Source organism: Homo sapiens, chromosome 6, assembly GCF_000001405.40.
Source record: "Homo sapiens chromosome 6, GRCh38.p14 Primary Assembly".
Classification (NCBI taxonomy): Eukaryota; Metazoa; Chordata; class Mammalia; order Primates; family Hominidae; genus Homo; species Homo sapiens.
Window position 1 is genome coordinate 111,307,730 of NC_000006.12, and position 20,581 is coordinate 111,328,310.

A 20,581-nucleotide genomic window follows, 5' to 3' on the forward strand; every position below is an offset into this window, starting at 1 on the left:
CTGGAGCTACAGAAATGAATGAAGTCCTTGCCTTCATGGAACTTACATCTTAATATTATCAGATACATTTTTTTTTTATTATTATAATTTAAGTTCTAGGGTATGTGCAGGTTTGTTACATATGTATACATGTGCCATGTTGGTTTGCTGCACCCATCAACTCATCATTTACATTAGGTATTTCTCCTAATGCTATCCCTCCCCCAGCTCCCCACCCCCCGACAGGCCCTGGTGTGTGATGTTCCCCGCCCTGTGTCCAAGTGTTCTTGTTGTTCAATTCCCACCTATGAGTGAGAACAGGCGGTGTTTGGTTTTCTGTCCTTGTGATAGTTTGCTGAGAATGATGGTTTCCAGCTTCATCCATGTCCCTGCAAAGGACATGAACTCATCCTTTTTTATGGCTGCATAGTATTCCATGGTGTATATGTGCCACATTTTCTTAATCCAGTCTATCATTGATGGACATTTGGGTTGGTTCCAAGTCTTTGCTATTGTGAATAGTGCCGCAATAAATCCCTTTGTAAAAAAGTTATTAGGTTAGCCTCTTACAAATGTCATTGGGTTAACATTCTTGCCGATGATGAAATGAACATTAGTAATAAAGAATCTGAGTTTCCTGCCTTAGAGCCAGGATATGTGCTCAGAACACTTAGTAACATATAGGTGGGCAAGATCATCTAACACAAAGCCTATTTTATAATAAAGTGTTGAATATCTCATGGAATTTATTGAATACTGTACCAAAAATGAAAAACAGAATGGTTGTATGGGTACTTGAACTACGGTTTCTACAGAAGGCATATCATTTTCGCACCATCGTTAAGTAGAAAAATCTTAAGTTGAACCATCATAAGTTGGGGAACAACTATAATGCTATTTTACCATTGCAGTAATTCTTTACTCTGGTTTCTTCAGGGCTGTGTCTAGTGTGTCTAGATACTAAATCCTACACCTTTCTTAGACATTCATTTCGAAGGAATTTTTGCTGTACATTTATTTTCTATTAACTGGCTTATTCTACGTTATTTGCGGCTACCATTGAAATTGTTGTGGGATTTATTTTAATATTTCTATAATTTGGCCAACTTGATAGAAGCTAGGAATGTGTTTGTAGAATACTTAAAACGTTTATCTTTTAGGAAACCAGGAGAGCATGGCATCTTTGCCAGTTTAGGACAGAGGATCTGCTTTGCTCTCACAGTGAAACAGGAAAGGTTCCCTTGTTCCCCTTGCAGGGTGTGCGAGAGGGACAATGGCTCGCTTCTTCAGTGCCCCGCTGCTCAAACCTCTAGGGGAGCACACAGACGGGCAGGTTGTGGAGCTCTGGCCCCATGGCAGTGTCTAGGGGTGAATGTTTACAGCTGAAGCCCCAGTGGGTGTGTGTTACAGGGTATTCTTTTAGTTTGCTGTCTATAGGCGGCTTGTGTTAACCAGCTCAATTAGACCCTCTAGCTTGTCTCAAGGATGGAGGGCTTTCTGTATTCCGGGTTCTTGCCTTGGTGTACCAGAAGAATCCGATCACCCGTGGGCTAGGAGAATGAGTGCAACGTTTTATTGAGTGGAAGTAGCTCTCATCTGATGGTGGAATCAGCAGGGAGATGGTTTTCCCCTGGAGTTGGGCTTCTAGGTGGCCCCGTCTCTTCTCTGACTGCCCTGGCCAAACTCCACCTTGTCCTGCCGGTCAATGGCCTGCCAGCATGCCAGTGCCTCTCGGTGTGCTGTTCTGCTGGCGTGCTCCTCTTGACGACCAGCTGCTTGGGTCTTCCACCGAAGTGTTCCTCACAATGTCCAGCCGCTCGTGTGTCTGCCCACTAGGGTCTCGGGTTTTTATAGGCCCAGGATTGGGGCATGGCAGGCCAAGGTGGTCTTGGAAAATGGTAACATTTGGGCATGAAAGCAGGAGTGCCTATCCTCACCTAGATCTGTGGGGGTGGAGCCCTAGCCAGGGACCCACCTTTCTCTACCCAGCACTTCCCCTCCCGCTTTCCGTATCATTTTACGGGACCACACTCTTCCCTTCCCAGCACTCCCATATCAATAGCACATAAAACCTTTAGTTCTACTGAAAATTTGGAGTGAAATCTCTCCATAGTTAGAGCACATGTACTATTTGGTAAGCTTACCCTTGGTAATTCATGATACCAGCTGAAGACATCAATACCAATAAGTGAGAAGATTCTTGCCAAGGGTGGAAGGATTTGCTTGGTAATATAGTAAGTAGCATTCAGTCTCAGAGTTGGGTCCTGCAGGACTTCCACTGGGCGCCTTACAAGCTGGATAAGTGGTACTCCGGGGGTCCCATAAATGATGACGTATGGCACTCGCTCCCCAACCTGAGGCTCAGAGCGCCGGTCATAAGTCAGCATTTTCCTATTCGAATTCAAAGAAAAAAACCACACCCAAATACTGTTATGGAAGCCATCTTTCTCACAAATTAAGTCAGAATTAAACAATAATAAAACAATGAAAAAACTACAAAAGACAATTTCAAAACAGAATTACTATTTCTTTGAGAATAATATATATACATTTTGCTTAGTTGACACCAAGTGTAGATATCCTACAAGAGTTTAAAAATTACTCTGTAAATCACTGTTACCTGGAAAATAATGAGTTGGCAGATATCAACTAGCTTAAGATGTATTTTAGGTGGGAGTGGTGGCTCATGCCTGTAATTCCAGCACTTTGGGAGGCCAAGGATCACCTGAGCCCAGGAGTTTGAGACCAGCTTGGGCAACATAGCGAGACCCCCATCTCCACAAAAAAATTAGCCACCATAATGGTGCACACCTGTTATCCCAGCTACTTGGGAGGCTGATGTGGGAGGTTCGCTTGAGCCTGGGAGGTCAAGGCTGCAGTGAGCTGTGATTGCACCACTGCTTTCCAGTCTGGGCGACAGAGTGAGACCCTGCCTCCAGGGGCAGGAAAAAGATGTATTTTATCCCCTAAGAATGAGAACTAACTATCATTAAATCTATCATGAAAGATAAGAGAAAATTTACCTGGTTAAACTATCTGATTCCAGAATGATACCATCTAAATGCTTTGGTAGAACAATATTAAGGACTACCTAGTGATTTTGATGTGGGAAAAACAAATGAATCAAGGACTGTGTCACAATTTCTTTGCATAAGTTTCTGAAGGAAAGCCCAAAAGAGGATTTCCTCTTCACATCTTACGAAGTATGAGGGAATATTCACTAACTTTCAGTGAGGCTTCATGTGCGCAGGTAAAGAAACAATTTTGTGTCTGTGTCTATGGACTGTCTTTTCATTTGGGTCTTCTAGACCTGTGCAGAATCTCAGGACTATCCTGGCAAGGTACTGAGGGTATCATTACCTTGTAAGTTCAAGGGCTGGCACACAAGCTCCTGGTTTATAAGAAAAACTTCCTCTGTATTCCTTGGCAAAGATAAAGTCTTGTATGCTGGCCTTTCCTTCCAGAAGCTTCATACATTGTCGCTGAACATACTGTTTAATTAGACTTATATCTCTCGTTTCAAATAGCAGCTTTAGAGAACGCTCAAGTATCTTAAAACAAAAAAGATATGCAAGTAAAGATAAAATATCTCCTAGTATGTTTCACCATTGTTATTACACTTTCAATTATGTAACTACTGGGTAACCTGCTAACCTACCTAAATAATCTGTTACTTACAATGATGGGATAATAAAATTATTAAAAATTGAAAGTTATTTGAGACTTTAGAGAGCTTGCTATTTCTAAAAATAGAATATCATGTAGTTTAAGGAAAACCATGTGGAATGACATGCAAATTAACATTTGTCATGTGATAAGCAACATAAAACACGTTAAGTTTTTTTTTTTTAATAGTCAAAGCCTCTAGGTACAAGAAACCAGACACGATTTCATGTATTGTTTTTTTATTTACCAGTATAGAAAGGGTCCTGATTCAGTCACAGGAAACACAGAGAAGTTTAAAGATCACCAGGCAGTCAAATCAAAATCAGCCTTTTTGACTTTTTATAAAAATGTTGATAAATAACTATGACAGAATTTTCTGTGTTGGAAATTTCTACTAGGAAATAACCAGCATGCAGTGGATTTATGTAAGATTAATTTTTTTTTTTTTTTTGAGACGGAGTCTTGCTCTGTCGCTCAGGCTGGAGTGCAATGGCGTGATCTCGGCTCACTGCAACCTCTGCCTCCCGGGTTCAAGCGACTCTCCTGCCTCAGCCTCCCGAGTAGCTGGGACTACAGGCGTGTGCCACCACGCCCGGCTAATTTTTTGTTTTAGTAGAGATGGGGTTTCACCGTGTTAGCCAGGATGGTCTCGATCTCCTGACCTCATGATCCGCCCGCCTCGGCCTCCCAAAGTGCTGGGATTATAGGCGTGAGCCACCGTGCCCGGCCAAGTAGATTAAGTTAGTTCTAGGTGAAAGCTCTGTGTCTTATTCTGAATACTGGAACCAATGGATATTTATACAATAAGCTTATTAATTTAGCTTGAGTACAATTCTGCCTACAGAGAAAGAAGGTACTGGATTATATCTCTTCCAGAAATAGTGCTGAAAAAAATCCCAAATTCACATAATATTATATATATGACATAATATATTGATAATATTCAATCCACTATGCTTTTAATGCTCTCATCAAACAGTATATAGAATGCTATTCCCATTTATACCATTTATTTTTGTTTTGCTATAGAAGGAGTCTAGGCCCGAATAAAGAAAAAGCCAAAAAATATCAGGGTTATTATGGTTGAGAAATTTGAGTAATTTATAGCTAATTGTTTGGAAATCTTCCTAATTTGTATTTGATAATCCAAATAAATGAAAGTTCAGTTAATCTGGAATGGATTATGTTTCTCTCTTTTTATTTTGATGGAGTCTCACTCTCTTGCCCAGGCTGAGTGCAGTGTTGTGATCTTGGCTGTCTGCAGCCTCCTCCTCCCGGGTTCAAGTGATTCTCACACCTCAGTCTCCCGAGTAGCTGGGATTACAGGCATGCGCCACCACACCCAGATAATTTTTGTATTTCTAGTAGAGATGGGGTTTCACTACGTTGGCCAGGCTGGTCTCGAACTCCTGATCTCAAGTGATCTGCCTGCCTTGGCCTCCCAAAGTGCTGGGATTACAGGCGTGAGCCACCACACCGGGTCTGTTTGTCTTGTTTATCCTGCTCTGCTTTCAGGAGTTGTTACACTATGACATATATGATCTCCAGGCAATAGGCAGGAAACTCTCATGTATTGCTTTTTAGTAATTTTTGATAAAACGTAAGGTATGGGAGGAAGTCAGAAACTTAAGGACTAAAATCAAATAAATTGTTTTTATTAGAAATAAAATTCTAGCTACTCAGGAGGCTGAGGCAGAAAGATTGCTTGAGCTCAGGAGGTCAAGGCTGCAGTGAGCCAGGATTGGACTACTGCACTCCAGCCTGGGTGACAAAGTGAGACCCTGTCTCAAACAAACAAAAACAAAATAAGACACTACAAATAAAATTCTCAAAATTCATGTAGTTACTCCTATAGTTATATTAATTATATAGGCTATAGTTCCTTCACCTAGATGCATGTTTAAGGGTAGTTACATTTTCACCAGACACTTTAGCCACTTATTTCTTACAGATGAAGACAAGATAGATAAACCTTACCTTAGAAACAGCAGGGCAGGAATCTCTTCTGACTGTTTCTATTCCTTTTGCATCAAATACTGGGTCCTTCTGATCCAGTGTTTCATACATGTAACCCACATACCTCTTTTTTGTTTGTAAAACACAGGGCAAATATACCTGTGGTAAAATTAATAAAATGCCTCTTAAAAACCATTTCCCCCCACCAAGAATGTTTTATTTTTATGTCTTTGTGCTTTCTTTAATCAAGTATCAATTATTTAAAAAATTCTATATATGACTTTGGGCCCAACAAATTCATGATATAACACGTGGGAGCAAAATGAATTGTCTTTAAGTTGTTACCACTTGCTCACTCCTTTTCTTGCGCTACCAGTTTTGTTTATTTACTGAATAAAGTATAAACACTTTAGCTTGGCATTCAAGACAGTCTACAGTCTGGTCTCAACTTTATTTTTCCGGATCTATCTCCTGCTTCCCCGTATTTCCATACTGTCCTTTTCCAATTCCATACATGCCATTTTCTTCTGTGCAGAATGATTGCAGCCCCATGTCTGCCTACTGAAATTCTAACAATTTTTCAAGACATAGTTCATTGTTACTTCCTATATGGAGTCTCCCTATCCAGCCCAGGAGGACGCAATTCCTCCTTTCCTTTGTGCTCTCACAGTGTTTAAGCGGGCTATTCTCATCTTGCTTTCCGTTATGTTTACAACAAGAGACTGCTTATATACATTCCTAACCTTTCCTTTTAGATTACTGGCTCTTAGAGGGCAGGACTGTGTCTTATGCTTCTTCGTATTCCACACAGTTCCTAGGCTAAGTATCTTTTATACAGAAAGAAAGAAATACATATTTGATATCTAAAGGTAAGTGAAAAAGAGTTCAAAGTCCTTGTGGTAGACTTTGTTTTGCAAAGAAAGAATATATCTTCCATCCTACATGGTCTTCTTACAATGTGACTTTGACATTCTTCCTATTAATAGTGGGGTCTAAGTTCACTCCCTTTAAATCTAGAGAGGCGTGGGACACTGTGTTACTTTGAGCCTGGGTCATACAAAACAAAGCAGCTTTTGTGTTTCTTTGGGATGTTCACACCTAGAACCCAACCCTCATGTTGTGAGGGAGAACAAGCAGCCCCGGTGAAAGGCCACTGGTAGGTGTTCTGGCTGATGTTCCAACTAGTAGCCAGCATCAACCACCAGACATGATGGTAAGCAAGCTTCAGATGGTTTCAACCCTTAGCTGCTGGTTGGGTTACCCCTAACCCCTAACAGTCTTCTCAGCTGAGGAACTAGACATCGTGCAGCAGAGAAAAGCCATTCCAGTTGCACCCTGTCTGCATTCCTGAGCCAGAAAATCTGTGAGCAGAATGAAATGCTGGCTGTTTTACACCATTAAGTTTGGGGTGATCTGTTACACAATAATAGTTACTGGAACAAAGTTTTCATTTCCTTACATATATACATTACTAAACAAATTTTGAGAAAATTATACAAAAGAGAAAATATTTAAATACTTTTTTTTTTTTTTTTTTTAGAGACAGGGTCTTACTTTGTTCCCCAGGCTGGAGTGCACCGGTCAATCACAGTTCACTGTAACCTTGAATACCTGGGCTCAAGTGGTCCTCCTACTTCAGCCTCTGGAACAGCTGGGACTACAGGCGTGTGCCACTATGCCTGGTTAACTTTTTAATTTTTGTAGAGATGGGGTCTGGCTATGTTGTCCAGGCTGATCTCAAACTCCTGGTCTCAAGCAACCCTCCTGCTTTGGCCTCCCGAAGTGCCAGGATTACAGACATGAGCCAGTGACCCAAATTTAACACTTTAATAGACCCGTATACTGTTAGTGATTCTGAAAATGTACTGAACAAATCAGAGGTCTCTAGAAGGTATATGAATTTTATATGTAATTACTAATATTACATTCCTCTTACCTTTTCAAACTTCAATTTCACTGGTTTAGGATTGGTAGCAGTTACAGCTTCGGCAATTTCCTGACCAATCTTAAAAGACTGCTCCTTAGTGGCTCCTTTCAGTAGCACAAACATACTAAGGGGATTAAAAATAAAGTAAGGTAATGAGGAAGTCATTATAACAAAAATTTTATCAAGAGTAACTTTCCTGGCTATGACTCTTGTCTAATGCCAAAGAAAACTCCCTTTCTCCTATTTACTCTTTAAGATGCTTTCTATGTAAGCTCTCCTGTTTTATTACTTTCCTTATGTACTTATATCTTGTTACAAATCTTTTAAGACATCCAATATTTCTAACACACAGATCAGCTCAGATATCCCAGTAGTCAAGAAAGTCCTGGATCATCCCTGGACATTTAAGGCTTTGTATGGTACACAAGGGGTCACTAACCCCAAGGCTACAGACTGATACCAGTCAGTCTGTGATCAGTGGCAGATCAGTCAGATCAGTGGCAGCATTAGATTCTCATAGGAGCATGAACCCTATTGTGAACTGCGCACAAGTGAAGGATCTAGGTTGTGTGCACCTTATGAGAATCTAATGCTTGATGATCTGAGGTGGAATAGTTTCATCTCCAAACCACCTGGTCTGCGGAAAAATTGTCTTCCATGAAACCGATCCCTGGTGCTAAAAAGGTTGGGGACTGCTGTGGTCCAGGCACAGTGGCTCACGCCTATAATCCCAGCATTTTGGGAGGCCAAGGCGGTGGATCATCTGAGGTCAGGAGTTTGAGACCAGTCTGACCAACATGGTGAAACCCCATCCCTACTAAAATATAAAAATTAGCCAGGCCTGGTGGCATGTGCCTATAATCCCAGCAACTTGGGAGGCTGAGGCAGGAGAATCGCTTGAGCCTGGGAGGCAGAGGTTGCAGTGAACTGAGATTATACTACTGCACTGCAGCTTAGGACTCCATCTAAAAAAAAAAAAAAAAGGTTGGGGACCACTGTGGTACACAGTTAAGTACATCACAAAATAAGAGACTATATGATTATAAGAAAATGGAAGATGTACTTGTGATATGGGAGAAGTTCCCTTAAGGCTAGAATCACTCAACTTAAAAAAGAAAGACATTGGCTGGGTGCGGTGGCTCACACCTGTAATCCCAGCACTTTGGGAGGCTGAGGCGGGTGTATCACCTGAGGTCAGGATTTTGAGACCAGCCTGGCCAACATGGCAAAATCCCGTCTCTACTAAAAAAATACAAAAATTAGCCAGGGGAGGTGGCGTGTGCCTGTAGTCCCAGTTACTTGGGAGGCTGAGGTGGGAGAATCGCTTGAACCCAGGAGGCAGAGGTTACAGTGAGCTGAGATTGCGCCATTGCACTCCAGTCTGGGTGACAGAGCAAGACTCCGTCTCAAAAAAAAAAAAGAAAAAAAAAAGACAGACATATATTCTGTAATGTATGTTAACTGAAAAATAGTTAGAAAACATAAAAAGACACACGGAAGAAAATCAACATCTGTAATCATATCATATACAAAAAAGACATTACAAACACTTTGTGTATATCTGTAAATCTTTTCATATGCTATAATGGATCATGTTACTTGGTAATGAATAATATTGAATTACATGAATAAAAAACACCAATATAAAATATACTCAAAATACCAATACAAAATATACTCAAAAATAACTGATAAAATGCATTGGGCATCTTTTTTTCTATTTCAGTATATTCTACAACCTGACCACCAACAGAAGTAATGGTTAATAAATATTTAAGTAAGATAGATTATAAAGTTCATCTTCACTTATATTTCTAGTGAAAAGACATTAAATAGTGGAAATGGATGATATCTTGAAACATGACTTTAAGATTCTTTTTTCTAGCCATATAAACCAATCTCATATTTCTGAAGTGTTTTTATACTGGATTTTTAAATCCCATTTTGGATGGTTTCTTTGGAAAAAGTCCCTGCTAATAATGGAGACAGTACTTGCCTGACAGCCTAATATGAAAAATTAAAAGAAAGGAAAAAAGTAGTTTATTCAACTCTACTAAAAGTCTTTAAAATAAATATTGTCTCAATCTGAATTAATTTTAACATTCACTAAGGTAGAATAAAAATGCCTTAGTTAATTAGACCTTCAATCTAGGCTATACTTCGAACCATCTGAAGGTTTTTTTTAGTTTCTTTATAGGCCATCTGATGCTCATTTATACCAATACTACCTTACTTTATTTTATTTAAGAGGCAGGGTCTCACTCTGTTACCGAGGCTGGAGTGCAGTGGCATAATCATGGCTCACTGCGCCTCAACCTCCTTGTACTCCTTCACAATAATTTTTCAGTCTATTCCTGGCCCCAGGTTCAATACATAAGACTTGCTTTCTGTTATATAGGTTTTTTCCAAGAATTTTATATAAATGAGCTGGGTACAGTAGCTTTTGCCTGTAATCCCAGCAACTCTGGAGGCTGAAGTGGAGGACTGCTTGAGGCCAGGAGTTTGAGATGGCCTGGGCAATATAGTTAGACCCTGTCTCTAAGTAAATAAATAAAAATTTTATATAAATGAAACTATATAGTATGTACTCTTTTATATCTGTCTTCTTTCACTCAGCATATTTTGAGATTCATCCATGGTGTCAGAATAACAGCAACTGGTTGGTTTCCATTGTTGAGCAGTATTCCACTGTATGGATATACCACAATTTGCTTGTCCAATCACTCACTGATAGACGTTTAGATATTTTGCAGTTTTGGACTATTACGAACAAAGCTCCAATGAAGAATCATACACAAGTTTTTGTGTGGACATAGGTTTTCCTTTTTCTTTTTTCTTTTTTTTTTTTGAGACGGAGTCTTGCTCTGTCACCCAGGCTGGGGTGCAGTGGCGCGATCTCGGCTCACTGCAAGCTCCAACTCCTGAGTTCACGCCATTCTCCTGCCTCAGCCTCCTGAGTAGCTGGGACTACAGGGGCCTACCACCACGCCCGGCTAATTTTTTGTATTTTTAGTAGAGACGGGGTTTCACCGTGTTAGCCAGGATGGTCTCCATCTGCCCGCCTGTATTTTTAGTAGAGACGGGGTTTCACCGTGTTAGCCAGGATGGTCTCCATCTGCCCGCCTGAACCTCCCAAAGTGCTAGGATTACAGGTGTGACCGTGCCCGGCCAGGTTTTCTTTTTTCTAAGATAAGCATAAAGGAGTGGAATCACTGGGTCATATGCTAAGTGTATGTTGAACTTCATGTGCAACTGCCAACTTTTTATGAAAGATTATTCTTAAAATGTTCAGATGCAATGATGAATGCAACATTTTTTTTGTTTGTTTTTTGAGATGGAGTTTTGCTCTTGTTGCCCAGGCTGGAGTGCAATGGCGTGATCTCAGCTCACCGCAACCTCTGCCTCCCAAGTCAAGCGATTCTCCTGCCTCAGCTTCCCGAGTAGCTGGGATTACAGGCATGCACGACCACGCCCGGCTAATTTTGTATTTTTAGTAGAGACGGGGTTTCTCCATGTTGGTCAGGCTGGTCTCGAACTCCCGACCTCAGGTGATCTGCCCAAAGTGCTGGGATTACAGGCATGAGCCACCGCGCCCGGCCGTATGCAACATTTAAAATAAGTGCACATACACATATTTCTGTACGGTTTTATAATAGGCAAAACTAAGCTACAGTAATAAAAATCAGATAAGTGGTTGTCTAGGGCATGGAGTGAGGGCGAGGGATTCACTGTAAAGGGAGAATAAGATAACTTTTTAGGGTGATAAAAAGTGTTCTATATCTTGACGGGCATGATAGCTGGTAACTTGGGCCTATATATTTTAATATTTTATTACATACTATACATGTTGTTAAAAATTATAATTCCATAAAAATGATAAAGAAATAAAGGTACATATACTTTACATCTTAAAAGTTATTATTGGCTGGGTGCGGTGGCTCATGCCTGTAATCCCAGCACTTTGGGAGGCCAAGGTGGGTGGATCACGAGGTCAGGAGTTCAAGACCAGCCTGGCCAACATAGTGAAACCCCATCTCTACTAAAAATACAAAAATTAGCTGGGCATGGTGGCGCATGCCTGTAGTCCCAGCTACTCAGGAGGCTGAGGCAGGAGAATGGCGTGAACCTGGGAGGCAGAGCATGCAGTGAGCTGAGATTGCGCCACTGCACTGGACTCCAGCCTGGGCGGCAGAGCGAGATTCTGTCTCAGGAAAAAAAAAAAAAAGTTTCTGCTAGGTTGCCACGGCTGGGAAAGGTACTGTGTATGTGTGGGGAAGTGGAGATGGTTAATGGGTACAAAAATGTAGTTAGAATAAGACCTAGTATTTGATAGCACAGCAGAGAGATTACAGTCAACGATAACTTATTGTACATTTAAAAATAACTAAACGTTTAATTGGAATGTCATCATAATTGGAAGGTCATTTACCTTCGTCTATCAGATTTCCTTCATTTTGATGATGAGGCAACTAAGCCTCAGAGAGGCAAAATGACTTATTAATGGTTATGCCATCATCTAGGAGTATAGCTAGAAAGAGAATCCAGGTCTCCTCACTCTCAGTTGGGAACTCCTTTTTTTTTTTTTCTCTGAGATGGAGTTTTGCTCTTGTTGCCCAGGCTGGAGTGCAGTGGCGCGATTTTGGCTCACTGCAACCTCCAATTCCTGCGTTCAAGTGATTCTCCTGCCTCAGCCTCCTGAGTAGCTGGGATTATAGGCATGCACCACCACACCCAGCTAATTTTTTTAATTTTTAGTGATCCACCTGCCTCGGCCTCCCAAAGTGCAGGGATTACAGGTGTGAGCCACTGCACCTGGCCTTTTTTTTTTGAGATGGAGTTTCGCTCTTGTTGCCCAGGCTGGAGTGCAATGGCGCAATCTTGGCTCACTGCAACCTCTGCCTCCCGGGTTCTAGCTATTCTCCTGCCTCAGCCTCCCAAGTAACTGGGATTACAGGCATGCGCCATCACGCCCAGCTAATTTTGTATTTTTAGTAGAGATGGCGTTCTCCATATGGTCAGGCTGGTCTCGAACTCCTGACCTCAGGTGATCTGCCTGCCTTGGCCTCCCAAAGTGCTGGGATTACAGGCATGAGCCACTGCGCCCAGCCAGGAACTCTTTTTCACTCCACCAGGCATTACCTATTATCCCAAGAGCAGTGTTTCTCAACCTTTTATCATTATTGTCCTTCCAAGGAAAAAAAAACACAAATTTAAATTATATTTAACAAGGCAAAGTAATTACTAAGAAGTAAAATATTGTTGGGTAGGTCTGGGCACTGTGGGGCCAAAAACTATGGTACTGACTTTTTTGTGTCCTCCTTCAAGAACTTACTTGTATTCTGCCAGGGTGACACTGTTGTGAATTGCTCTCATACAGATGTCACTAAACGTTTGGGTTTCTTGTTTTTGAGACAGGGTCTCATTCTGTCATCCAGGCTGGAGTGCAGTGGCATGATCATGGTTGACTACAGCCTTGAACTCCTGGGTTCAAGCGATCTTCCCACCTCACAGCCTCCCAAGCAGCTAGGAGTACAGGTGCACACCACCATGTCCGGCTAATTTTTAAATTTTTTGTAGAGACAGGGTTGCACTTTGTTGCCCAAGCTGGTCTTAAAACTTCTGGGCTCAAGCAATCCACCTGCCTTGGCCTCCCAAAGTGCTAGGATTTCAAGTATGAGGCAGCACGCCTGGCCAATGTTTGTTGAATGTATCAGGTAGTGAATGGTGATCAAAAGTTTTAATGACATTGCAAGTAAATTTCCTTTGACTGGAATCATATAATAACTATAAAATCTGATGTAGAGAGAAAGCATCAGCTAGGAATCAAAACACTGAATATCAATTTATGGCTCTTTACTGACTAGTTGCAAGATCTTAAATTTCTTATCCTAGGGAAATTTGTTCTTAATAAGCATCACTTGAGGCACATTCTAAGCTCTCCCCAAGTATGAAAACTGCTGGCCTAAATAATATCAAAATCCCTTCCGGCTCTGACATTCTGTGAGTCTATTATTTTTTGTAGCTTGACTTCTTACAGATCTTAAAGGGTAAATAATATAACTACAATCAGAATCATGCTGACTTCTGGGTGTTGTCAACAACATGGATAGCCCCTGAATTAAAATCAGTAAGTTAAAGGATTAACATTTTTCCCTAAATATTTTTTAAGGAGTTCTGCTAACAAGTGGAGAACTTATTTTAGTAACTCTTATTTTGCTGGAATACCCAGCAGAAGTAGTTTCATAGAACAATAAAATAACCAAAGCCAAACTAAGAAGTGGCTTTTGATGAGCAACAGGAGAGAATATGGATAATTAGGGCCTGGATAATTTGAAACTATCCCCACCGGCTGGTAATGAAACAGCTGCTCTATAAGGCAAGGTCTCATTCAGCATTAATATGATTATGCTGTCTGTATGAACATTTTAAAGAACTGGATAAGATTAAATGCTGTTCAAAGATTACTTATAAGCTATTTAATGATCAGAAGCATTATCTCCTATTGCTCTGTTGGACTGTAAAGAGATCAGAGGTCTTGAAGCAAGTGCTCTTAGCATGATCACACTGTGACTCTACGTCCCCAATATGGAAAAAATTTCACTGTAAGAAATTTGAATAGTGCCTACATTCTAGAAGAATTTCAATAAGCCATGCAAAAAAGATGTTACATAAATAACTGAAACCTGAAAAATATCACAGCAAGCAGGAAGCATGCAAGCTGGTGTTAATAACTTACATTATTAATAACGTGCCTTCAAATGCAGGCACATTATTTGCCAATCCATAAATAATAGGCTTGAGGAAGTCTGTGGACCCTCTGGAATCAAATGGAAAACTGTATTTGCCTATATGCACTTCTCTTAGAAGGTCAACATATTCTGGGGCCGAGTGGTAAGTTAACCATTCACAGTTCTGGCAATTGTCCTTCAAAAACAGTTTATTTTAAGATATACACTTAAATTCAGAGAGTTACAGCTATATTAGAGGAATTATTCACATTAAAAGTAGTTTCTTTAAATAAACTAGACTCCTGTGTACACAGTTAGTTTACAGATCACTATCTACTTGGCTTAGAGCTACCTGGAGGGAAGCCATAGGTATCTTCAGTTTGTGGCTCAGGACACAAACTGTCTCTTACGATCCTATCTGGTAAATCAGGATCTGTGTTAACTCTGATCATGAGATCGTAAGGACTGGAAAGGACTCAGACAGAACTCTGTTTTTAGAAAAGATTCCCTTAAGCCATTTTAAACACTGAAATGAAGATCTAGAGAGATGCAAAAGACAACTACAAAACCAAAAACCCATTACCTGTCAGTATCGCCATATACAACCCTAGCCCCCCATTTCTTGGTATCATTCACCAGTTTAATAGCTCGTTCCAAGGTCTCTCTGGCTTTGTGAACAATACTATCGCCAACCTGTTGGTACAAACACATTGGAAATAATTTCTTAACATAGCTCAGTATAAGTTAACAGACTTTAACATATAATACATTTAATTACTAAATATTTCCAGAAATGAAACGAGAAAAGAACGTAAAAAAGAAATCAAAATAGCCATCAGTATCATCATTCTTTCTACAAGTACTCAAGAAGAAACTGAGGTGAAGAATTTGAAAGAACCAATCAATATACAAACTTGTCTTTGAGTATAACAGTAAGTGGACTGCACTTGTTACAAGGTACTCAGCTACGTTGGATTCTTGGAAGAATAATCCTTCTTTATTCAAGAACTTTTTTTTTTTTTTTGAGGAGTCTCACTCTGTCACCCAGGCTAGAGTGCAGTGGCACAATCTTGGCTCACTGCAACCTCTGCCTCCTGGGTTCAAGCGATTCTCCTGCCTCAGCCTCCTGAGTAGCTGGGACTATAGGCGCACGCCACCACACCCAGAGAATTTTTGTATTTTTTAGTAGAGATGGGGTTTCACCATATTGGCCAGGCTAGTCTTGAACTCCTGATTTCGTGATCCACCCACCTCGGCCTCCCAAAGTACTGGGATTATAGGCGTGAGCCACCGTGCCCGACCTATTCAACTTTCTTATGTGCCCTTACAACTCATCAGGCAGAAAAGCACTCTTTGTGGGTGCATGAGTATATGTACGTGTATCTCTCAAAATTTTTCTGTTGAAGTGTTGATGATAATGTCTTTCAATATCATTAAAGTTAATGCTGAACTTCAATCTTGTCACTAGTTATACAAAGAAAAATGTATCTAATTATATGATGGGAAATATATTAAAACTGTTCAATTTAAATTAAATAGGTAGATATATATCTAGGAAGGTTTTACTCATTGGTGATTAGTGAATTTTAACAGTGACCACAGCATGAGTTTACAAAACAAAAAGATGCTGGGCCTTGACAAATATGAGAAGCATGCTAATGAGATTTTACAGTTAAGTAAATTAAGGAGACTATATAACAATGCTGTTTTATTTATTAAACTCATTAAAGCTAAGAGTGGGAAAAATTGCCATTCAACATAAAACATAAATGGAGCATTCCTTTTGCAATTTTAAAACGCAAACTGCACATTTTTTTTTGTTAAGAAGCAAACAATAGCAATAATCATCCTTCTCCCTTTACTGTAAAATTTGAATTACTAAATATAGGATTGAATAGTATTTAAAAGGCTATTTAAAATTGCATTACAAAGGACATATTAAGTACATGAACAAAGGAATAAATAATAAAACTAGTAGTAGAAACGAGTTGGGATTTATTTATTTATTTATTCTGATTTATTTACTTATTTTGAGACAGAGTCTCGTTCTGTCACCCAGGCTGGAGTGCAGTGGTGTGAGCTTGGCTCACTGCAACCTCTGCCTCCTGGGTTCAAGCAATTCTCGTGCTTCAGTCTCCCGAATAGCTGGGATTACAGGAGTGTGCCACCATGCCCAGCTATTTTTCGTATTTTTAGTAGACAGGGTTTTGCCATGATGGCCAGGCTGGTCTGGAACTCCTGGCCTCAAATGATCCACCCGCCTCAGCCTCCCAAAGTGTTGTAATTACAGGTGTAAGCCACCATGCCTGGCCTTAGGTTTTAAATTAAGATTATGAATTCTGCTGAGACCTCTAGTACATCAGAAAATCTTGAGAATGTAAACTGTAACTTAATACATTACAAAAATCATGTTATCTAATGGAAACTCAAATTGAATAAAATGTTCTGTTACCTACTGCCACTTTCAAACAAGGTCAACTTTTAAATATGTGAGGAAAAAGAGCTGCATAAGCAAGCCATTTTAGTGTCAAAGTCAAATATACTTCTGAGATGTATACTTACAAGTATATACTCGAACATATACATAGTGGTCTTAAATGTCTGCCTAATGCTCTTACTCTGGCGCATTTAAGTTATACCCCAAAGAGTCAGAACTCTGCAGTTACCCCTGAAGACCACATAATAAGAAGAATTCAGCAGCACTAGAGTGAGGGGGAGGCGGAAGAGGGAAGGAGAAGTAATTAAATTAACAGATTCTGCTACTTTGTGCCAAGGTTCCTAACCTGAAAAGCATTACTTCATTAAAGGGCTAAGAGAGGATTTAAAAGAGGAAAAGAAATGGTTTCACAATTTAGGCCATGATTGGGGATGCTCAAAAGTCTTTTTTTTTTTTTGAGATGGAGTCTCACTCTGTCGCCCAGGCTGGAGTACAGTGGCGCAATCTCGGCTCACTGCAACCTCTACCTCCCGGGTTCACGCCATTCTCCTGCCTCAGCCTCCCAAGTAGCTGGGACTACAGGCACCCGCCACTACGCCCGGCTAATTTTTTGTATTTTTAGTAAAGACGGGGTTTCACCGCATTAGCCAGGATGGTCTTGGTCTCCTGACCTCGTGATCCACCCGCCTTGGCCTCCCAAAGTGCTGGGATTACAGGCGTGAGCCACTGCACCTGGCCTCAAAAGTCTTAATAAAAACAAATGTTTTAAGTAAAAATTAATTCCCTGAAAAGACATAAAAAGGAAGAAATAAAGTTCAGACAATTTTTTAAAAGGCACAAATATACCTTTATCATAAATATGAATGACCAATAATTTAGTAGAAAACTGTCAACATATAAAAATTTTAATTTATGAAGTAAGTCCAACTGAGACAGAGACATTAACCTCCACTATTAGCTACTTTATTCTCCATATTCTCTTCATAGGAATTTTTGCTTACCAAGTCTTGTCTTTCTCTATGATGGTACTGAGACAGAGACATTAACCTACAACTATTAGCTACATTTATTTATTCTCCATATTCTCCTTATATGCTTACAAAGTCTCATCTTTCTCTATGATAGTCCAGATCTAGTACTTTTTTGATTGTGTGTTCTCTGAAGGAAAGCAGGAGACCACAGTCAGTAATCCATTTGCCTCCCGCTTTTAAAAGCTTTTAATTATTCTGGATACATAACTGTTGTATATATACGTATATGCGGTACATATGATGTACACAGGCAGACAATGTGTAATGATCAAATCAGGGTAACTGGGATATCCATCACCTCAAGCATTTATCATTTATTTGTGTTAGACATTTCAATTCCATTCTTTTAGTTATTTAAAAATATACAATAAGTTGCTGTTCACTATAGTTACTGTGCTACTAAATACTATATTTTATTCATTCTAATTGTATTTTTGTACTCATTAATCATTTCTACTTTATCTCCCTCCCTCCCCACCTCATTGCCTCTGGCAACCATCATTCTACTCTCTATCTCCATGAGTTCCTTTATTTTTTTTAGTTTCCATAAGAGTGAGAATGTGTGATATTTGTCTTTCTCTGTCTGGCTTATTTCACTTAGCATAATGTCCTTCAGTTCCATCCATGTTTTGCAAATGACGGGATTTTATTCTTTTTTAGGGCTGATTACTGGACAAATGGGATCACATAAAGCTAAAAAGCTTCTGCACAGTAAAGGAAATAATCAACAAAGTGAAGAGACAACCCATAGAATGGGAGAAATTATTTGCAAACTACCCATCTAACATGGGATTAATAACCAGAATATGTAAGGAACTCAAACAACTCAGTAGGAAAAAAACAAATAATTCGATTAAAAATGCACAAAAGGTCTGAATAGACATTTCTCAAAAGATGACATACAAATGACTAACATTACTAATTAGAGAAATGCAAATCAAAATTATAATGAGATATCTTCTCACCCCAGCTAAAATGGCTTTTATCCAAAAAACAGGCAATAATGAATGCTGGCAAGGATGTGGAGAAAGGGGAACCCACTGTAGTGGGAATGTAAATTAGTAGAGCCACTATGTAGAACAATATAGGATGCTGCAAAAATCTAAAAATAGAACTGCCATATGATCCAGATATCCCACTGCTGGGTATATACCCCCCCCAAAAAAAAAAATGGAAATCGGTACATTGAATTGATATCTGCACTCCCATATTTATTGTAGCACTATTCACAATAGCCAAGATATGGAAACAACCTAAGTGTCCATCAACGAGTGAATGGATAAAGGAAATGCCATATTATGTGTACAATGGAATATCATACAGCCATAAAAAAGAATGAAGCCATCTGCCCTTTAAAAAAAAAAAAAGTGGCTGATATCTTCCATTTTTACTCTATTGGTGCTAACTTTTCACTTATTCATGAGAGGCTCTTTCTGTGATGTTAGCTGCTTTTTCCACTCATGATTTCACCTAGAAGTTAACATTGTACTGTTGCGAAGTTAGCATATGATGAGGGGTCAAATGCATGCTTGCAGTCATTAATCTGAGGATAGCTGAGAAGACCAGGGTCAAGGAAGCAGGTACTGCTTGGCAGTCTGAGTTCACCGTGCAAAGCAGCAACGTACTCCCTGGTGAAACCCTATTCCTAAACTTCCACTGCTAGTTCAAAAATCCTACCAAATTCTGGTTATTCTAAAGTTACAGTATTTACATATTTTAAAAATAGTATAATTTCTGCATTATTACTAAAATACATTAATAAACACTTTTAAAACCGAGAGGCAGGGAAGAAATTAGGGAAATGTGGAAATGGCCCCTAAGAAAGGATTTGGGACAAGCATGGTCGCTCACACCTGTAATCCCTGCCAAGGCAGGAGAATCACTTGAGCCCAGGAATTCAAGACCAGCCTGGGCAGCAGGGCGAAACCCCATCTCTACAAAAAATAGAAAACTTAACTGGGCATAGAGGTAAGCACCTGTAGTCCCAGCTACTTGGAGGCAGAGGTGGGAGGATTGCTTGAGCCTGGGAGGTCGAGGCTGCAGTGAGCCGTGGTTAAGCCACTGCACTCTAGCCTGGGTGATAAAGCAAGACGCTGTTTCAAAAAAAAAAAAAAAAGGATAGCTTTTGGTTTTACATTAGTAATATCATTTCCATTTTTTTTTTCCTGCTAGATCATATAGATCAGTGGTTTTCAAATGTATTAATATGAACCCCCAGGACTGACAAAGTATTTTTTATCTTACCTAAAAGTATACAAATATAAACCTAGATACAAACTTTTATTGCTTACAGCCTTTACAGTGCAACTATAAAAAAATTTATCCAGCACAAAATCATATTACTGTACCAAAATATTCAAGTTAACAATATTAAGTTTCCACTATAGATGGTATTTTGCTGCTTTCAATGTGAATATGCCACTACTGCCTTGCTCATGTTTTTGGAGTTCATTTTGCCTACTGTGAGCTGTGTGAAGACTTTATGCTTTCCCTGCTTTTCTCTTACTGAACTAATGCAAATATGATATACCACAATGTTCTCTGACCTTCATTTGGCATGAAAAGATCACAATATAACAAGTTACTCTGTTCTTTTCTCACTCACTAGTATATTATTTATATTACCCTGTCACACTATATTGTATTTGTATCAAATAAACACCTTAACTTAGTAAATATGAAATTAAGTCATTCTATGAAAAATGTCTTTCAACTGTCACTATCATTGCAAAAAAGGTTGTGCTTTATATCTACTGGTATACTAGTAAATATGGAATGACTGTTGTTTATTCTGACTTAAAAAATTTTTTTAGTTTTTAATTTTGTGTATTAATAGAGGCAAGGGCTCACTATGTTG

At 39.6% G+C, this 20,581-nt stretch overlaps 1 protein-coding gene across 10 annotated transcripts in view; it reads right to left on the bottom strand.

Annotated features, from left to right (window-relative positions):
* REV3L (REV3 like, DNA directed polymerase zeta catalytic subunit) overlaps positions 1-20,581 on the bottom strand; it is a 184,679-nt gene that overhangs the window by 8,697 nt on the left and 155,401 nt on the right. For 8 of the 10 annotated variants that reach the window (NM_002912.5, NM_001286432.2, NM_001286431.2 and 5 more), the window contains 5 exons: positions 14,840-14,949; positions 7,538-7,652; positions 5,623-5,760; positions 3,340-3,530; positions 2,124-2,370 (listed from right to left, as the gene is read on the bottom strand). In NM_002912.5, the coding sequence (NP_002903.3) occupies positions 2,124-2,370; positions 3,340-3,530; positions 5,623-5,760; positions 7,538-7,652; positions 14,840-14,949 (801 nt within the window). Of the gene's footprint in view, positions 1-2,123; positions 2,371-3,339; positions 3,531-5,622; positions 5,761-7,537; positions 7,653-14,839; positions 14,950-20,581 lie in introns of those variants that run through there. The other 2 variants (XM_047419216.1, XM_047419215.1) reach the window with 2 other exon arrangements.